At 44.7% G+C, this 18,137-nt stretch overlaps 1 protein-coding gene and 1 long non-coding RNA gene across 3 annotated transcripts in view; one reads left to right on the top strand and one right to left on the bottom strand.

Annotated features, from left to right (window-relative positions):
* The window catches only part of LOC112267908 (translation initiation factor IF-2-like), a 92,138-nt gene that overhangs the window by 67,116 nt on the left and 6,885 nt on the right, over positions 1 to 18,137 (top strand). The window lies entirely within an intron of this gene.
* Positions 3,930 to 18,137, bottom strand: part of LINC02614 (long intergenic non-protein coding RNA 2614) — a 58,841-nt gene continuing 44,633 nt past the window's right edge. For both annotated transcript variants that reach the window (NR_125396.1, NR_125395.1), the window contains one exon: positions 3,930 to 4,148. This is a non-coding gene — a long non-coding RNA (long intergenic non-protein coding RNA 2614). The remainder of the gene's footprint in view (positions 4,149 to 18,137) is intronic.

Consider the following 18,137-nt stretch of genomic DNA (forward strand, 5'->3'; position numbering starts at 1 on the left):
CATTGGTAAATTGATGGGGATGGCATTAAATCTATAAATTACCTTGGGCAGTATGGCCATTTTCATGATATTGATTCCTCCTACCCATGAGCATGGAATGTTCTTCCATTTGTTTGTATCCTCTTTTATTTCATTGAGCAGTGGTTTGTAGTTCTCCTTGAAGAGGTCCTTCATGTCCCTTATAAGTTGGATTCCTAGGTATTTTATTCTCTTTGAAGCAATTGTGAATGGAAGTTCACTCATGATTTAGCTCTCTGTCTGTTATTGGTGTATAAGAATGCTTGTGATTTTTGTACATTGATTTTGTATCTGAGATATTACTGAATTTTGGTATTTTTAGTAGAGTTGGGGTTTGCTGAATGCAGCCCCCAGTCACATACTCCCTGCTTGGTCAATCGATCACAACCCTCTTATGATCACGACCCTCTCACACGGACCCCCTTAGAGTTGTGAGCCCTTAAAAGGGACAGGAATTTCTCACTTGGGGAGCTGGGTTGTTAGAGACGTGTGCCACCATGCCCAGCTAATTTTTGTATTTTTAGTAGAGATGGGGTTTCACCATGTTGGTTGCCCAGCATAGTCTCGATCTCTTGACCTCGTGATCTGCCCAACTCGGCCTCCCAAAGTGCTGGGATTACAGGCGTGAGCCACTGCACCCAGCCCAGAGAAGGCTTTTCATACTTGCTTCACAGGCTCCTGCATCCTACCGCAGCACCAGGTGCTCACCACCTGTGGGCTGTGCTCATCTGTGATCATCTCTCCTCAGGCCTGCTGTTCCTTGAGAAAGGAAGTTGTAATGGGCAGAATTCTAGGACAGCCCCTAAGAGACCCACTCCCTTATATCTGCTCCCTGTATCATCTCTTCTTCTTGAGTGTGTCCAGAGCTTGTGATTTGGCCAAGGGGAAGGAATTTTGCAAATGTGATTATGGTCACACTTGCTTTGTTAAGCACATTTGCTCAGCTGACTTTGAGTTCATCCAAAGCAGGATGATCTTAGGTGGGCCAGACCTAATCATATGAGCCTTTTAAAGGTGAGGTTTCAGAGATTCAACCCTTAGCCTCCAAGGAGACACAAATGGCCATGCTGTGAGCTGTCTTTGGAGGTGGCAGCTCTAGGTGCTGAGGGCCTTCGTTCAACAATTGCAAGAAATTGAATTCAGTCCACAAACTGAATAAGCTTGGAAGAGGACCCTGAGCATCTGATGAGAGCCCAGCTCCAGCTGACACTCTGGTTGCAGTATTGTGACCCTGAATAGAAGGCCCAGTTAAACCCTGCCCAGACCCTTGGCTCATGAAAAGAGATAATAACTGGGTGGTGTTTAAGCTGCTCAGTTTGCACTGGTAAATCCACCAACAGGAAAGTAATATAGAAGTTAAGTGGGCCGGGCATGGTGGCTCATGCCTGTAATCCCAACACCTTGGGAGGCTAAGGTAGGTGGATCACAAGGTCAAGAGATCGAGACCATCCTGGCCAACATGGTGAAACCCCACCTCTACTAAAAATACAAAAATTAGCCAGGTGTGGTGGCACACACCTGTAGTCCCAGCTACTCAGGAGGCTGAGGCAGGAGAATCACCTGAACCCAGGGGGTGGAGGTTGCAGTGACCCGGGACCATGCCACTGCACTCCAACCTGGTCAACAGGGAGAGACTCCATCTCAAAAAAAAAAAAAAAATGTTAAACGAATACTTTTGAGCATTGATGGAAGTTGCTTTCATTCCCTCTTACTTAATCATCTTTATCTTAGCCCTGAAAGAGGGATGCTTTAACCCCATTTGTAACAAGTGAGTCTGAGGCCCAGGAAAGTGATAGAATTTAGCAAAGTCCACCTTGCTACCTGGTGGCTGCAGCTAGAACTTAACCCCAGGTCCATATACCTAAAGTCATTACAACTTCCACTAAAATTTTGCCCCTCTCTCCATGCCTTCCTGTTTAGAAGCCTGTTCCTTCAGGGATAGATCCCAACCCAGTGTTACAAGGTACTGAATTCTGATTTTCACAAAATATAGTAACTCCACCCCAAAATTGATAATTGTATTTTTGAGCCAGGCATGGTGGTTCATGCCTGTAATCCCAAAACTTTGGGAGGCTGAGGTGGGTGGATCATGAAGTCAAGAGATTGAGAGCATCCTGGACAACATGGTGAAACCCCGTTTCTACTAAAAATACAAAAATTAGCTGGGAGTGGTGGCATCTGTAATCTCAGCTACTCAGGAGGCTGAGGCAGGAGAATCGCTTGAACCCAGGAGGCAGAGGTTGCAGTGAGTCGAGATTGCACCACTGCACTCCAGCCTGGCAACAGAGCAAGACTCCATCTTAAAAAAAAAAAAAAAAAAAACAACTATTTTTGAGTCCTTATGTGTCAACCACTGGGCTATCCCAACACCAATAGATATTATGATTATGATTTTCTTTTCCATTTTATTGATGTGGAAACCAACACATAGAAAGGTAAAGGAACTTGCCAAAGGTGATGGTCACACAGCCGAAGAACTGTAGAAGTAGCACAGGAATCCCAGCAAACTCACAGCCAAGCTCTACTTTTCACCTTCACGTCATACTGTCCTCAGACTAAAACCGTAACTCTGACGTTCCCAATCAAAAATCATACTCAAGGCCGGGTGCGGTGGCTCACGCCTGTCATCTCAGCACTTTGGGAGGCCAAGGCAGGTGGATAACCTGAGGTCAGGAGTTCCAGACCAGCCAAGCCAACATGGTGAAACCCCATCTCTACTAAAAATACAAAACTTAGCCAGGTGCAGTGGTGGGTGTCTGTAATCCCAGCACTTTGGGAGGCTGAGGCATGAAAATCACTTGAACCCAGGAGGCAGAAGTTGCAGTGATCCATGATCATGCCACTGCACACCAGTCTGGGCAAGAGAGTGAGACTCTGTCTCAAAAGAAAAAAAAAACTGTGCTTAATAATAGCTTAGAAGTGCACATATCTTCTGTGAAGGTTGATGGACTACAATTAGCTTCAAAACACAAATAAGTAACTGTGTTTAAATGAGGCCTTCTGTGTAATAGCTAGGGAAAATCAATGTAGCTATTCATATTTTGGTTCCCCTTCCAGGCACAGAGAAGTTGCCCATGACTCTGTGATCCGTTTTGTCCGATGAACCATGAGCAGGAGCAACTTGAGTCACCTCCAGGTGGAAGTGTTAAGAGGCTCTGTGATCCAGCACATTCCCTTTCCCCTGAAGTGGTGATCAAGGACACATGCAGAGATGGGGCTTTTGTCAGCCTGGATCCCTGAGTGAACACAATGAACAGACCACCCCACAATGCCCTAACACAGCCCAGACATGCAACATGACCAAGAATAAGCCTCATTGTGGCCAGACATGGTGGCTCACACCTGTCATCCCAGCACTTTGGGAGGCCAAGGCAGGTGGATCATTTGAGGTCAGGAGTTCAAGACCAGCCTGGCTAACATGGTGAAATCCTGTCTCTACTAAGTAAAAAAATTAGCCAGACAGTAGTGGCACGGGCCTGTAATCCCAGCCACTCAGGAGGCAGAGAATCACTTGAGTCTGGGAGGCAGAGGTGGCAGTGAGCTGAGATTGCACCACTGCACTCTAGTCTGGGTGACAGAGTGAGACCCTGTCTCAAAAACTAACAAATACCTCACCGCATGGAGCCACTGAGATTTGGGGGTTGTTGTTACTGCATCAGAACCCAAATCATCCTGACCACTAGACTGTCCTAACTAGGGTTTCTTACCAAAAGCAAAGGCATTTTTAAAGTTCGTGACATTTAAACAAAAGAGCAAATACCAATATCTGCCACTTTGTCAGGCTAACAAACCCAAACAAAGCCAACAGCCAGAAGTTAAAAGAAACGGATCATTAGGTTGAAAACAGAACTGTCAAAACAGGCAAAATTGACTTTGTTTAGTGATTGCAAAGAACATCAGGCAAGACACAGGTGTGGTCATCATATAATTTATCACATGCTTAATTGCACATGTTTGACTAAGAAAAACACAAAGTATTTAAGCTCATCTGTAGTTCAAAGTGCCTATCCGTGTATTTGTCCATTCATCCTGATTTATTTATTGAGCAACTCTTTTGTACCAGGCACTGTGCTGGGTGGTGGTAATGCAATGATGAAAATGGCAGGCATGGCTCTGCCCTCCAGGAGTTTCTAGGATACAGAGGGAGACAAACAAAAAATAAGTAAATCCATGAAAGAAGTATTGGTGGAACCTGCCCCCCAATATTTCAATGTAGGTTCTTTCTGTTTTCCATAAGTGTCAGCCAGCTGAGAAATAAAGAGAGACACTACAAAGAGAGGAATTTTACAGCTGGGCCACTGGGGGTGACATTACATATCAGTAGGACCATGATGTCCCCTGAGTCTCAGACCAGCAAGTTCTTAATTAAGGGTTTCAAAAGGGGAGGCAGTGTAAGAACAGGGAGTAGGTACAAAGATCACATGCGTCAAAGGGCAAAAAGCAGAACTACTACTAAGGGTCTAAAAAAGATCACATGCTTCTGAGGGAACAGGACAAAGGGCAAAAGCAGAACTACTGATAAGGGTCCAGCAAAGATCACAAAGCAAAGGGCAAAAGCAGAACCACTGATAAGGGTCTACGTTCATTGGCGCATGTATTGTCTTGATAAACATCTTAAACAACAGAAAACAGAAAACAAGAGAACCAGTCTGACCACAGATTTACCAGGGCAGAGTTTTCCTCCACCCTAGTAAGGCTTTGGGTACTACAGGAGACCAGGGCGTATCTCAGTCCTTATCTCAACTGTGTAAGACAGACATTCCCAAAGCGGCCATTTATAGACCTCCCCCCAGGAGTGCATTCCTTTCCCAGGGTATTAATATTCCTTGCTAGGAAAAGAATTTAGTGATATCCCTCCTACCTGCACATCCTTTTATAGACTCTCTGCAAGAAGAAACATATGGCTCTTTTTGCCTGACCCTGCAGGCAGTCAGACCTTATGGTTGTCTTCCCTTTTTCCCTAAAAATCACTGTTATTCTCTTCTTTTTCAAGGTGCACTGATTTCATATTGTTGAAACACACATGTTTTAAAATCAATTTGTACAGTTAACACAGTTATCACAGTGGTCCTGAGGTGATGTACATCCTTAGCTTATTAATATAACAGGATTAAGAGAGTAAAGACAGGCATAAGAAATTATAAAAGTATTATTTGGGAACTGATAAATGTCCATAAAATCTTCACAATTTATGTTCCTCTGCCACAGCTCCAGCCAGTCCCTCCATTTGGGGTCCCTGACTTCCCACAACAAGAAATAATAAGAGGTTAAGGTGGAGAAGAGCAGGGAAGTCCACTTTATAAAGGGGTCAGGAAAGAGCTCTCTGTGGAAGCACCATTTTAGCTGAGACCTAAAGGATGGTCTAATTTGGGGAGGTGCAGAGGAAAATCATTCCAGGCTGAAGCAGCAAGTGCAAAGGCCCTGTTGTGGAAAAAGGTTTGAAAGTCCAACAAAACAAAAGGAGGCCAGAGTGGCTGAAATAGAGTAGGCCAAGGGGAGGAGATAGGAGAGGGCTGGAGAGGCGGCAGGGTCAGGCAGAAGACTCAGGGTCTTGATTTTATTCTATGTGCCATGGGCAGGAAAGGCAAGGGTGAGACTCAATGGACACCTTAAGATCACTGAAGCTGCCAGGTGGGAAATGGATTGCTGAGCATCAAGAGTAGGTGCAGAGGACCAGTTAAGACCAGTTAGGAGGCTGCTGCTGTAGCCCAGCTGGGATAGCAGTGCCCTAGGCAAAGATAACAACAGTGAAGTTAAAGAGAGTGGACAAGTTGGGTAAAGTTTAGAATCACAGGACTTGCTGACTGGAGAAGAGGGCAAAAGCAGAGTTAGCACAACACATGAGTTATGACCACCTTGAGCAGCTCAGCAGGGGGTGGTGCCATTTACAGAACAGAGATGGCATGGACAGAGCCCATGGAGAAGGAGGAGGAAAAAGAGAGTTTGGCTTTGGGTTTTTTTTTAAGACAGGGTCTCTGGCTCTGTCACCCAGGCTGGAGTGCATTGGTGCGATCATAGCTCTTTGCAGCCTCAAACTCCTGGGCTCAAGTGATCCTCCTGCCTCAGCCTCCCAAGTAGCAGGATTACAGATCCTACAGATGCACTTCACCATGCCTAGCTAATTTTTTTTTTTTTTTTTTTTTTTGGTAGATAGGGAGTCTCACTGTGTTTTCCAGGCTGGCTTCAAACTCCTGGCCTCAAGTAATCCTCCTGCCTCAGCCTCCCATAGCACTGGGGTTACAGCCATCACCTACCACTCCAAGCCATGAGTTTGGCTTTGGATGTAACAAGATGGAGGTGTTCATGAGTTCACAAGTGGAAAAAACAAGAAAGAAGTTGAGTGTTTAAGACTGCTGTTTGAAGGAGAAGTCTAGCCTCAAGACAAAAGTTCAGGACTCATAAGCTGAGAAATGGCACTGAAAATTATGCAAAGGGATGAGCTCAGCTAGCAAACAAGTCCAGAGAGAGCAGAAAGTCCAGAGAGAGCAGCACTGGGCCATGCACCTGGCCTAATGCCACCCCACTCCTCCCAATCCCTGTGTTATGCTGGAGAGGGTTCAGCCTCTGGTGAGTTTCACCAAACCCCCACATCTTATTCTTCTGAGACCGTCTTTAAAATCCCCTCTTTTATACTTAGTGAAATGGGATTCTCTTTTTCCCATCCAGCTTAAGCAAAAACTTTTGACTATGAAAGGAATGAGGATGCATTTAATATCTGCTCTGCATGGCTAATTCCATCAAAGATTTCTCATTATTCATGCCTGGCAGTCTCATTTTCTTCTTTCGCCTCTCAGAGCATAGTCATAGCCTTAATTAGTGACCTTTTCACCCTTCTAACACCAGTGATTTTCCCCCATCTCAGTTCTCAGGAAGTTCTGTTCACAGAATTATCTCCTGAATCCTCACCTGGGGATAGAAATTGTTCTCTGTGGCCGTGTCTCCCCCTCTAATTCTCATCAAAAAACAGTGATCTCTGTGCATCAAATATGAAACTCAAGCTTAACAGATCATGCTTCTGGCTTCTCTCTCTCTCTGGCCTGTGGGTTAACAGGTTTGCAGCCTTTGCAGAGAAGACACCAAATTCTCAAGAGGCCAGAGTTTCCAAGAGTGCTGGTCACTCTTGCTCTCTTTCTCCTGCTCAAAATTCAGCACTAGAGAGTGTTACACCATTGCACCTGCAGAGGAGTTCATCTGACTCTAGGGACTACAGAGGAGAGAGACAGACAAACTAACAGACATTCAGAAAAGGGCTACCACAATGGGGAAGAAAATGAAAGTCAAACCAAATAAGCAATGGTCAAAAAAAAAAATCTAGAGGGCAGCTGCAGTGGCTCACATCTGTAATCCCAGCACTTTGGGAGGCCGAGGCAGGTGGATCACTTGAGATCAGGAGTTCAAGACCAGCCTGGGCAACATAGTGAAATCACATCTCTACTAAAAATACAAAAATTAGCCAGGTGTGGTGGTGGGAGCCTGTAATGTCAGCATTTTGTGAGGCTGAGGTGGGTGGATCACCTGATGTCAGGAGTTTGAGACCAGCCTGGCCAACATGGTAAAACCCTATTTCTATTAAAAAATACAAAAATTAGCCAGGTGTGGTGGCAGGTGCCTGTAATCCCAGGTACTTGGGAGGCTGAGGCAGGAGAATTGCTTGAACCCAGGAGGCAGAGGTTGCAGTGAGCAAAGATTGCACCACTGCACTCCAGCCTGGGCAACATTGAGACATTGTCTGGAAAAAAAAAAAACAAAAAACCTAGAAATGTCCATCCAGGCTGAAGAGAATATTCCAGAGCAGGGGTTGGGATACTATGGCCCATGGCCAAATCTGACCTGCATGCACATGTTTTTGTAAATAAAGTTTTATTGAAACACAGTTATGCCCATTTGCTACATATTGTCTATGGCTGCTGGATTAGGCTGTTCTCTCATGCTATAAAGAAATACCTGAGATTGGGTAATGTATAAAGAAAAGAGGTTTAATTGGCTCACAGTTTTGTAGACTGTACAGGGAAGCATAACACTGACATCAGCTGAGCTTCTGTGGAGGCCTCAGGAAACTTACAATCATGGCAGAAGGTGAAGTGGGAGCAAGAGAGTGAGGAGGGAGGTGCTACACACTCGTAAACAACCAGATCTTGCAAGAACTCACTTACTATTGCAAGGACAGGACCAAAGGGATGATGGTAAATCATTCATGAGAAATCCACCCCCATGATCCAATCTCTTCCCACCAGGCCCCACCTCTAAAACTGGGTATTACATTGCAACATGAGATTTGGGCGGGGACACATATTCAACCTATATCAGCTGCTTTCATGCTATGGGTGGCAGAGTTGAGTAACTACTACAAGAGACTGTATGGCCCAAGAATTGTAAAATATTTACTATCTGATGCTTTCAAGAAAGTTTGCAAAGCCTGCTCTTGAAAAGGAATGGAAGGAAGAGGAGAGGAGGAAGGCAGGAAGGAGCAGAGAGGGACACGGGGCTGTATTCAAACATCTGTTGTTAAGAAAGAGAAATTCAATTTATTTGGCATGGCCCAAGTTATCAAACTAGGAGCACTCCATTGAAGTTTCAGAACAAACACTGTGCTGAATATAAGGATGACCCCATCTGTAATGCCTAACCTTGTTTTTACTAACTTTGTTGGTAGACTTTCCTTTTCTTTTAATCACTTAGCCTTGTTTCTACCTGAATTGACTTTCTTTTAGCTAAGAGAGCTAGATAGACTTTGTCTTGGCTTTTTCACTGGCAGCCCCTTCCTCAAGGACTTAACTTGTGCAAGCTGACTCTTAGCACCTCTAAGAATGCAATTAAGTGATAAGATACTGTGGGACGAGCAATATCCGCAGTTACTAGGAATTTGTCTGATTGATAACACCCAAAGCCCCGCGTCTATCACTTTGTAATAGTCTTAAAGCCCTTAGACCTAGAATTGTTTACTTTCCTGTAACAATTTATCCTTTTAACTTCTTTGCCTACTTCTGTAAAATTGTTTTAACTAGACCCCTTTCCCCTTTCTAAACTAAAGTATAAATGAAAATCTAGCCCCTTCTTCAGGGCCGAGAGAACTTTAAGCATTAGCTGTATCTTGGCCACCGGCTAAATAGACTCATAATTCGTCTCAAAGTGTGGCATTTTCTCTAACTCGCTCAAGTACAACATTTGGAGGCCCCAGTGAGAAACGCCACCAGGCGAGAGCCAGGCTTGCTCCGGCCCCCCCCGGAAGAACGGCCGGATTGTAGTGGGGGCGCCACTTGAAAAAAAATTTTCAGGTCCCTGAAAGGTGACCGTCTTCCAGAGGAAAGCGGATCGACTACCGTGTGGGTGCCCACAAAAATTCCACCTCTGAGTCCTCAACTTCTGACCCTGAGGTCAGGTAGGTCAGATTTGACTTCAGTTCTAGTAAGAGGGAAGCGGCCCTTATGAGGGCATCCCTCTTTTGACTCTGCCCATTTCTCTAGGACGCTAGAAGGCAGAGCCCTGGTTTTCTGTTAGGCACCTCTGTGTCTCTGTCTAGGAGGGAAGTGGCCCTGATAGGGGCCCTCCCTTGACTCAGTCCACATCCCAGGATGCTGGAGGACTGAGTCCTGGTTTCTGGCAGACCGGTCACTCTCTCTCTCGCTCTCTTTTTCTATCTCTCATCTTTCTCTTGTTCCAGTTTCTTGAAGAATCTCCAAGAAAGAAAAAAAAACTGTTTTAAACTCTGTGTGAATAATGAATGAATGAGGGAGGACAAGGGCTTGCGCTTGTCCTCCAGTTTGTAGCTCCACGGCGAAAGCTACGGAGTTCAAGTGGGCCCTCACCTGCGATTCCGTGGCGACCTCTTAAGGCTTAAGGACAGCATCAGGCATAGCTCGATCTGAGCCGGAAGTTTATACCGGGCTGCCAATGCTAAGAGGAGCCCAAGTCCCCTCAGGGGGAGCGGCCAGGCAGGCATCTGACTGATCCCATCACAGGACCCCCTCCCCTTGTCTGTCTAAAAAAAAAAAAAAAAGGAAGAAACTTTCATAACTGTTTACATGCCCTAAAGTCAATTGTTTATGTTGATTGTTCTGTTCAGTGTCTACTGTCTTGTTAGTAGTTGTCAAAGTTTTGCATGTCAAGACGTTGATATTGCCCAAGACATCTAAGTAAAAACTTCTTCAAAGTCCTTAGTGCTGATTTTTTTGTCACAGGAGGTTAAATTTCTCATCAATCGTTTAGGCTGGCCACCACAGTCCTGTCTTTTCTGCCAGAAGCAAGTCAAGTGTTGTTACAAGAACAAGAGTGAAAAACATTTGCCTGATTAAGATTTCTAGCACCATGAAAGTTGTAAGTATTTAGATTGTCACACCCTACATCCAAGTGATTAGACCTCCTCTAATCTAAACCAGTAGTAAGTTCAAAACAGCCACCCTGCAGATTTCCTTGCTCACCTCTTTTGTCATTCTGTAACTTTTCCTGTGCCCTGAAATAGAACGCACACCCGTACTACTTTACTTCATCGAGATTCTTACTCTGTTCCTCTGTGGCTACTCTCCCATCTTAAAAATGATCTGAGTAGTCCTTTACGCGTCGTTCCTGCCCCCTACCCTGCACATCTCATTTTCCGGTGTGACAGCAAGTTCAGCATCTCCATGACTTTGCTCTGCTCTCACTCCTTAAACCCTTAAAAGAAAAAGCTAAGCCTAAGCTATTTGCCTTTAAGTCATAAAGACACCAGAAGTATTTAAAGTACAGATCTAGAAGAAGAAGAACGCCTAGATCAAACTGACCCAGAAGATCTCAGGCTGGCTCTAGTCCTCCTCCCTCAATCTTAAAGCTACAGTAATGTAGCAAGTAGTATGAGCTGTTGTAGTTTTTCTGCTCTTTCTAGTCATGTTGATTCTGTTCTTTCAATACTCCAGTCCCCCAAGAAATAAGTTTCTCTGTCCATGTTAGGTTTAATATTTATGCTCAAATCTTATTAAATTGCCTTCAAAAAAAAAAAAAGAAACACTTCCTCCCAGACTTGTAAAAGTTAAAGCCCTCTCCAATGTGTGCTGCAGAATTTTCCTCTCAGTTTCTCAGAGGATTATAAAGTCCGCCTTGAAACAGGCAAGCTCCAGACACTCTGCAAAATAAAATGGCCAAAGTTTAAAGTCCAGTGGCCCCCTGAAGGGTCATTGAACCTCACAATTGTTCAAGCTGTGTGGCCGGTTGTTACTAAAACTCCTAGCCACCCTGATCAGTTTCCCTACATTGATCAATAGCTAAGTTTAGTCAGGAGCCCCCTCCATGGCTCCGCTCATGCGCCATTCATAATTCTACCTCCAAGGTCCTCCTAAGCCATACCGCCTTTTCATCTCGACCCTCAGCCGGTTTGGCTTCTCCTGTACTGCCTCCCTCTGAAGAAGGGGGGAGTCTCCCTCACCCAGTCCCACCGCCTTACAACCAGCCTGCTCCCTTAAAGTTATCCCATGTCTCCTCGACGACGTCCCCTGTAGACTCGCCACCCATTGCCTCTCAATCGCGACCGTGACAGGAAGAAGTAGCCCCTCTACTACCACTGAGAGAGGCACAAGTCCCTCCAGGTGACGAGCGCTCAGCCCCCTTCTTAGTTTATGTCCCTTTTTCTACTTCTGACTTATATAATTAGAAAACCCATAATCCTCCCTTCTCTGAAAAGCCCCAGGCTTTGACCTCTCTGATAGAGTCCGTACTCCGGACTCACCCGCCCACCTAAGATGATTGCCAACAGCTCCTTTTAACCCTTTTCACCTCTGAAAAGAAAGAACGTATCCAAAAAGAAGCCAAAAAGTACTTCCTCACATCAGCCAATGGACCGGAAGGAGAAGCTAGAGACCTCCTTGAGGAGGTCTTTCCCTCTACCCGGCCTAACTGGGACCCAAATTCCTCAAGTAGAAAGAGAGCTTTAGACGATTTTCACCGGTATCTCCTCGCAAGTATTAAAAGAGCCACTCAGAAACCCATAAACTTGTCTAAGACCACCGAAGTTGTCCAAAGGCCCGATAAGTCACCAAGAACGTTTTAGAGCGCCTCCAGGAGGCTTATCGGATTTACACCCCTTTTGACCCGGCAGCTCCCAAAAATAGCCGTGCTCTTAATTTAGCATTTGTGGCTCAGGCAGCCCCGGATATTAAAAAAGAAACTCCAAAAACTAGAAAGATTTGCTAGAATAAATATCAGTCAGCTTTTAGAAATAGCCCAAAAAGCTTTTGACCATCAAAAGGTTAAAAAACAAAAACAAGCAACACAGGCAGCTGAAAAGGCCGCTGATAAAGCATTCAAAAGACAAACAAAAATCTTAGTGGCGGCTATCCAAGAAGTACAGAATGAAATATCCCGTTAATTTAGCATTAACTGAAGCCCCTGCTTTAGCCCTCCCTAATATCTCCATAAAAACCAAGGAGTTGCTAAAGAGGTGCTTACTCAGGCTTTAAGACCCTAAAGACGCCCAGTGGCCTATTTATCTAAGAGGCTAGATCCTGTGGCCTCTAGATGGCCAAGTTGTCTGCGAGCCGTAGAGGCTACAGCAAGCCTAGTCCAAGAAGATGATAAGTTAACTCTAAGCCAAAATTTAACCCTTACAGCTCCTCATGCTGTAAAGACCTTACTACGAAGTGCTTCTGGCAAATAGATGTCAAATGCTCGCATCTTGCAGTGTCAGTTAGATCAGCCTCGTTTGACTTTCTCTCCCACAAAGTGTTTCAATCCAGCCACACTACTTCCTGACCCAGACTGCACTATTCCTGCTCATGACTGTCAAGAACTGTTAGAAACTATCCAAACTGGCCCATCTGATCTTCAAGATGTGCCCCTAGAAAAGGCAGATGCCGCCGTGTTCACAGACAGTAGCAGCTTCCTCAAGCAGGAAGTATGAAAAGCCAGTGCAGCTGTTACCATGGAGACAGATGTGTTGTAAGCTCACGCTTTACCAGCGAACACCTCAGCACAAAAGGCTGAATTGATCACCCTCACTCAGGCTCTCCGATAAAGTAGAATAAACGTATTAACATTTACAGTGACAGCAAGTATGCCTTTGCTACTGTGCATGTACGTAAAGCCATCTACCAGGAAGGCAGGCTACTCACCTCAGCAGGTAGCTGTGATCCACTGCAAAGGACATCAAAAAGAAAATACGGCCGTTGCCCATAGTAACCAGAAAGCTGATTCAGCAGCTCAGGTCGCAGCGCAACTTCAGTCATGCCTCTAAACTTGCTGCCCATAGTCTCCTTTCCACAGCCAGATCTGCCTGACAATCCCGTATACTCAACAACAACAAAAAAAAACTGGCTTCAGATCTCAGAGCCAATAAAAATCAGGAAAGTTAGTAGATTCTTCCTGACTCTAGAATCTTCATATCCTGAACTCTTAAAGAAACTTTAATCAGTCACCTACAGTCTACCACCCACTTAAAAAGAGCAAAGCTACCTCAGCTCCTCAGGAGCCATTTTAAGATCCCCCATCTTCAAAGCCTAACAGATTAAGCAGCTCTCCAGTGCACAACCTGCGCCCAAGTAAATGCCAAACAAAGTCCTAAACCCAGCCTAGGCCACTGTCTCTGAAAAAACTCGCCAAGAAAAAAGTAAGAAATTGACTTTACAGAAGTAAAACCACACCGGGCTAAGTACAAATACCTTCTAGTACTAGTAGACACCTTCTCCAGATAGACTAAGGCATTTGCTACTGAAAACGAAACTACCAACACAGTAGTTAAGTTTTTACGCAATGAAATCAACCCCCAATATACGCTGCCTGCTGCTATAAAGTCTGATAATAGAGCAGCCTTTACCTCGCCTATAGCTCAGTCAGTCAGTAAGGCGTTAAACATTCAATAGAAGCTCCATTGTGCCTATCAACCCCAGAGCTCCAGGCAAGTAGAACGCATGAACCACACCCTAAAAAACACTCTTACAAAATTAATCTTAAAAACCAGTGTAAATTAAGTAAGTCTCCTTCCTTTAGCCCTACTTAAAGTAAGGTGCACCCCTTACTAGGCTAAGTTCTCACCCTTTGAAATCATGTATAAGAAGGCGCTGCCTATCTTGCCTAAGCTAAGAGATACCAAATTAGCAGAATTATCACAAACTAATTTATTACAGTACCTGTAGTCTCTCCAACAGGTACAAGAGATCATCCTGCCACTTGCTCGAGGAGCCCATCCCAATCCAATTCCTGACCAGACAAATTCCTGCCATTCATTCCAGCCAGGAGACCTAGTGTTTGTTAAAAAGTTCCAAGAAGAAAGACTCACTCCTGCTTAGAAAAGACCTCACACCGTCATCCTCACGACTCCAACTGCTCTGAAAGTAGACAGCCTTCCTGCTTAGATTCATCACTCCCGCATCAAAAAGGCCAACAGAGCCCAGCTAAAAACATAAGTCCCCAGGCCTAAGTCAGGCCCCTTAAAACTGCACCTAAGTCAGGTGAAGCCATTAGATTCATTCTTTTTATCTACCTCACTTATTTGTTTTTGCCAGTTACATCCTCCGTGCCTTCCTACTCCTTTCTCCTCACCTCTTTCACAACAGGACGTGTATTTGCAAACACCACTTGGAAGGCCAGTACCTCCAAGGAAGTCTCCTTTGCAGTTGATTTATTTGTACTGTTCCCAAAGCCAGCCCATACCCATGAAAAGCAACACAATCTGTCAGTCCCAGGAGCAGGAAGTGTCGACCTTGCAGCAAGATTCAGACACTCCAAGAGCCAAACTAAATGTAGGAGCTCCAAAAGTGCAGAAAAAAGACTCCAAAATATTGACTTTTACCTCTGTCCTAGAAATCACCCTGACACTAGCTGTCAAGATGCTTATCAGTTTTTCTGCCCTGATTAGACATGTGTAACTTTAGCCACCTACTCTAAAAGATCAACCAGATCTTCAACTGTTTCCATAAGTCGTGCTTCTCATCCTAAATTATGTACTAGAAAAAATTGTAATCCTCTTACTGTAACTGTCCATGACCTTAATTCATCTCAATAGTATCATGGCATGGCATGTCATGAAGATTAAGATTTTATATCCCAGGATTTAATGTTAAGTCTATGTTCACCATCCAAAAAAACCCTAGTCTCATAAAGCCCACCCAAGCCAATCAGATCTTTAACTGATCTAAGTAACCCTATGTTCCAGAAACACCCTGACAAAGTTGATTTGACTGTTCCTCCACCTTTCTTAGTCATAAAAGATACACGCCAAAAAGTGCAAGAAAATCTAGACAAGCGCCAACAAGAACAAGAAAATAACATCCCCTAGTATCAAAGCATGTTCAACTAGAACCCATAGCTAACCACTCTAATTACTAAGTTAGCCAGACCCCCTCCCCGTCCTACTAATAAGTCTAATATTTGGGCCTTGTATATTAAATTAGTTTCTTAATTTTGTAAAACAACGCATAGCTTCTGTCAAACTTATGTATCTTAAGACTCAATATAACCCCCTTTTTATAACTGAAGAATCAACGATTTGATTCCCCAAAAACACAAATGAGGAATGTAATGCCCAACCTTGTTTTTACTAACTCTGTTTTTAGACTCTCCCTTTCTTTTAATGACCTAGCCTTGTTTCCACCTGAATTGACTCTCCCTTAGCTAAGAGAGCCAGACAGACTCCATCTTGGCTCTTTCACTGGCAGCCCCTTCCTCAAGGACTTAACTTGTGCAAGCTGACTCCCAGCACATCGAAGAATGCAATTAACTGATAAGATACTGTGGTGAGCAATATCCACAGTTCCCAGGAATTCATCTGGTTGATAACGCCCAAAGCCCCGAGTCTATCACCTTATAATAGTCTTAAAGGCCCTAGACCTAGAACTGTTTACTTTCCTGTAACAATTTATCCTTTTAACTTTTTTGCCTACTTTACTTATGTAAAATTGTTTTAACTAGACCCCCCTCCCCTTTCTAAACCAAAGTATAAAAGAAAATCTTAGCCCCTTCTTCGAAGCCGAGAGAACTTTAAACGTTAGCCGTTTCTTAGCCGCCGGCTAAATAAACAGACTCTTAATTCATCTCAAAGTGTAGCGTGTTCTCTAGCTCGCTCAAGAACAACACATCTAGCAGGCACGTAATCCACTCTAAAATGCTGTCCTGGGGTAGTAAAGATGATGTTGCTGGAAATACCCTTAAATGGCATGTGGATGAGTTCCCCCAGAGGCATACATGTTGAGCTACTTTGCTGATGAAGGGTACAAGTTGAAGGGGTTTTGTAAGGCAGAGTGAGGTTCCTCAGAAGGCTGTTGCTACAGAAAGCCAGGAGGAGAAATTACATGGCCAGATAGAGTGGCATGACCATTGGATAAGGGTTTTTTGTTTGTTTGTTTGTTTTTGAGATGGAGTTTTGCTCTTGTTGCCCAGGCTGGAGTGCAATGGCACGATCTCAGCTCACCGCAACCTACACCTCCCAGGTTCAAGGGATTCTCCTACCTCAGCCTCCCTAGTAGCTGGGATTACAGGCATGTGCCACCACATCTGGCTAATTTTGTATTTTCAGTAGAGACGGGGTTTCTCCATGTTGATCAGGCTGGTCTTGAACTCCCAACCTCAGGTGATCCGCCTGCCTTGGCCTCCCAAAGTGCTGGGATTACAGGCATGAGCCACCGCACCCAGCCTGGATGAGGGTCTTCAGCAAAGATGGAAGTTTTGGTACCTTGCAGTTTAATCTCTTCATTTATGTCCTCCTGAAATCTTCAGTAATAGCACACTTTGTCAATGCTTCTGGGGTCGTACTTAGGGGGACTTAAAGGAGATGTGATGTGGCAGCCTTTGACTCAAGGGAGTATCATACTAGCTCAAAGAGATCTGGGTACATGCCAGTTGAACCAACTCTTCTGAGGATGTGATAGATCCTGGGAGGCCACTGTGATCCCGCCAACCTTGAGGCCAGATGAGTCTTTGAAAAACATGGTTTGGCTTAACACCAGCACTTAGTCTAACACCCACCATGAATCTTGCTGAAGTGAAGCTATACAAATACCTTTTCAAAAGATTTTTTTTCATTTCAGATCCTTCGTAGAAATTCCTAAGGCTCAATGCTGTGTGGAAGTTTCTAAGAAAGAAAATAGTTTCCCATCTTTGGGATTCCCCTGAGATGGTCCAATCTGCAAAAAGTTCATTGCCATTTCCATCAAGGACACTGAGAACAACAGTCTTATCCGGATTGGATCCTGGGAATTGAGAAGCTTCAACAAGTGGGAAATGCACCCTCCACAGGTTCACACCCTTGTGGGCTATTTCAGTTACCTATTGCACCCTAAAATTAGAAACTTTAAACCACCACAAGTCATTATTGCTCATGACCCTGTGAGTTGCATGGGGACTTCCTGTCTAGTTTAATCTGGGCTCATTTGTGTGGCTACCTGCAGCTGGAGGGCCAGGTGGGCGGAACATCCAGGACAGCCTCACGTGTGTGCCTGGCAGTTGGTGCTGCCTGTCAGCCGGGGAACCTTGTTTTCCTCCATGTGGCCCCTAGCCCTCCAGAGCCCCTCTCCAAATGGCCCTTTAAGCAGGATAGCCAAGGCTTGATTGGTGCCAGCATCCAAGAGGGCAAAAATATGGAAACTACGAGAGGGTTCTCAAGGCCTAAGACTATATGCACCCCAAAAATCTGAGGTCTCAGTTAATTCAGAAAGTTTATTTTGCCAAGGTTGAGGATGCACGCCTGTGATACAGCCTCAGGAGGTCCTGACAACATGTGCCTAAGGTGGTAGGGACACAGCTTGGTTTCATACATTTTAGAGAGACATGAGACATGAATCAATATGTGCAAGATATACATTGGTCCAGTCTGGAAAGGCGGGACAACTCCAGGTGAAGGTGAAGGTGAGACAACTCGAAGCGGAGAGGGGGCTTCCAGGTCATAGGTAGTTAAGAGACAAATGGTTGCATTCTTTTGAGTTCCTGATTAGCCTCTCCAAATGAGGCAATCAGATATACATTTATCTCAGTGAGCAAAGGGGTGACTGAATAGAATGGGAGGCAGGTTTGCCCTAAGCAGTTCCCAGCTTGACTTTTCTCTTTAGCTAGTAACTTTTTTTTTTTTTTTTTTGGGACAGTGTCTCACTCTGTTGCCCAGGCTGGAGTGCAGTGGTGCGATCTCAGCTCACTGCAACCTCCAACTCCAGGGTTCAAGCAATTTT

The sequence above is a fragment of the Homo sapiens genome, chromosome 3 (genome assembly GCF_000001405.40).
Source record: "Homo sapiens chromosome 3, GRCh38.p14 Primary Assembly".
NCBI lineage: Eukaryota > Metazoa > Chordata > Mammalia > Primates > Hominidae > Homo > Homo sapiens.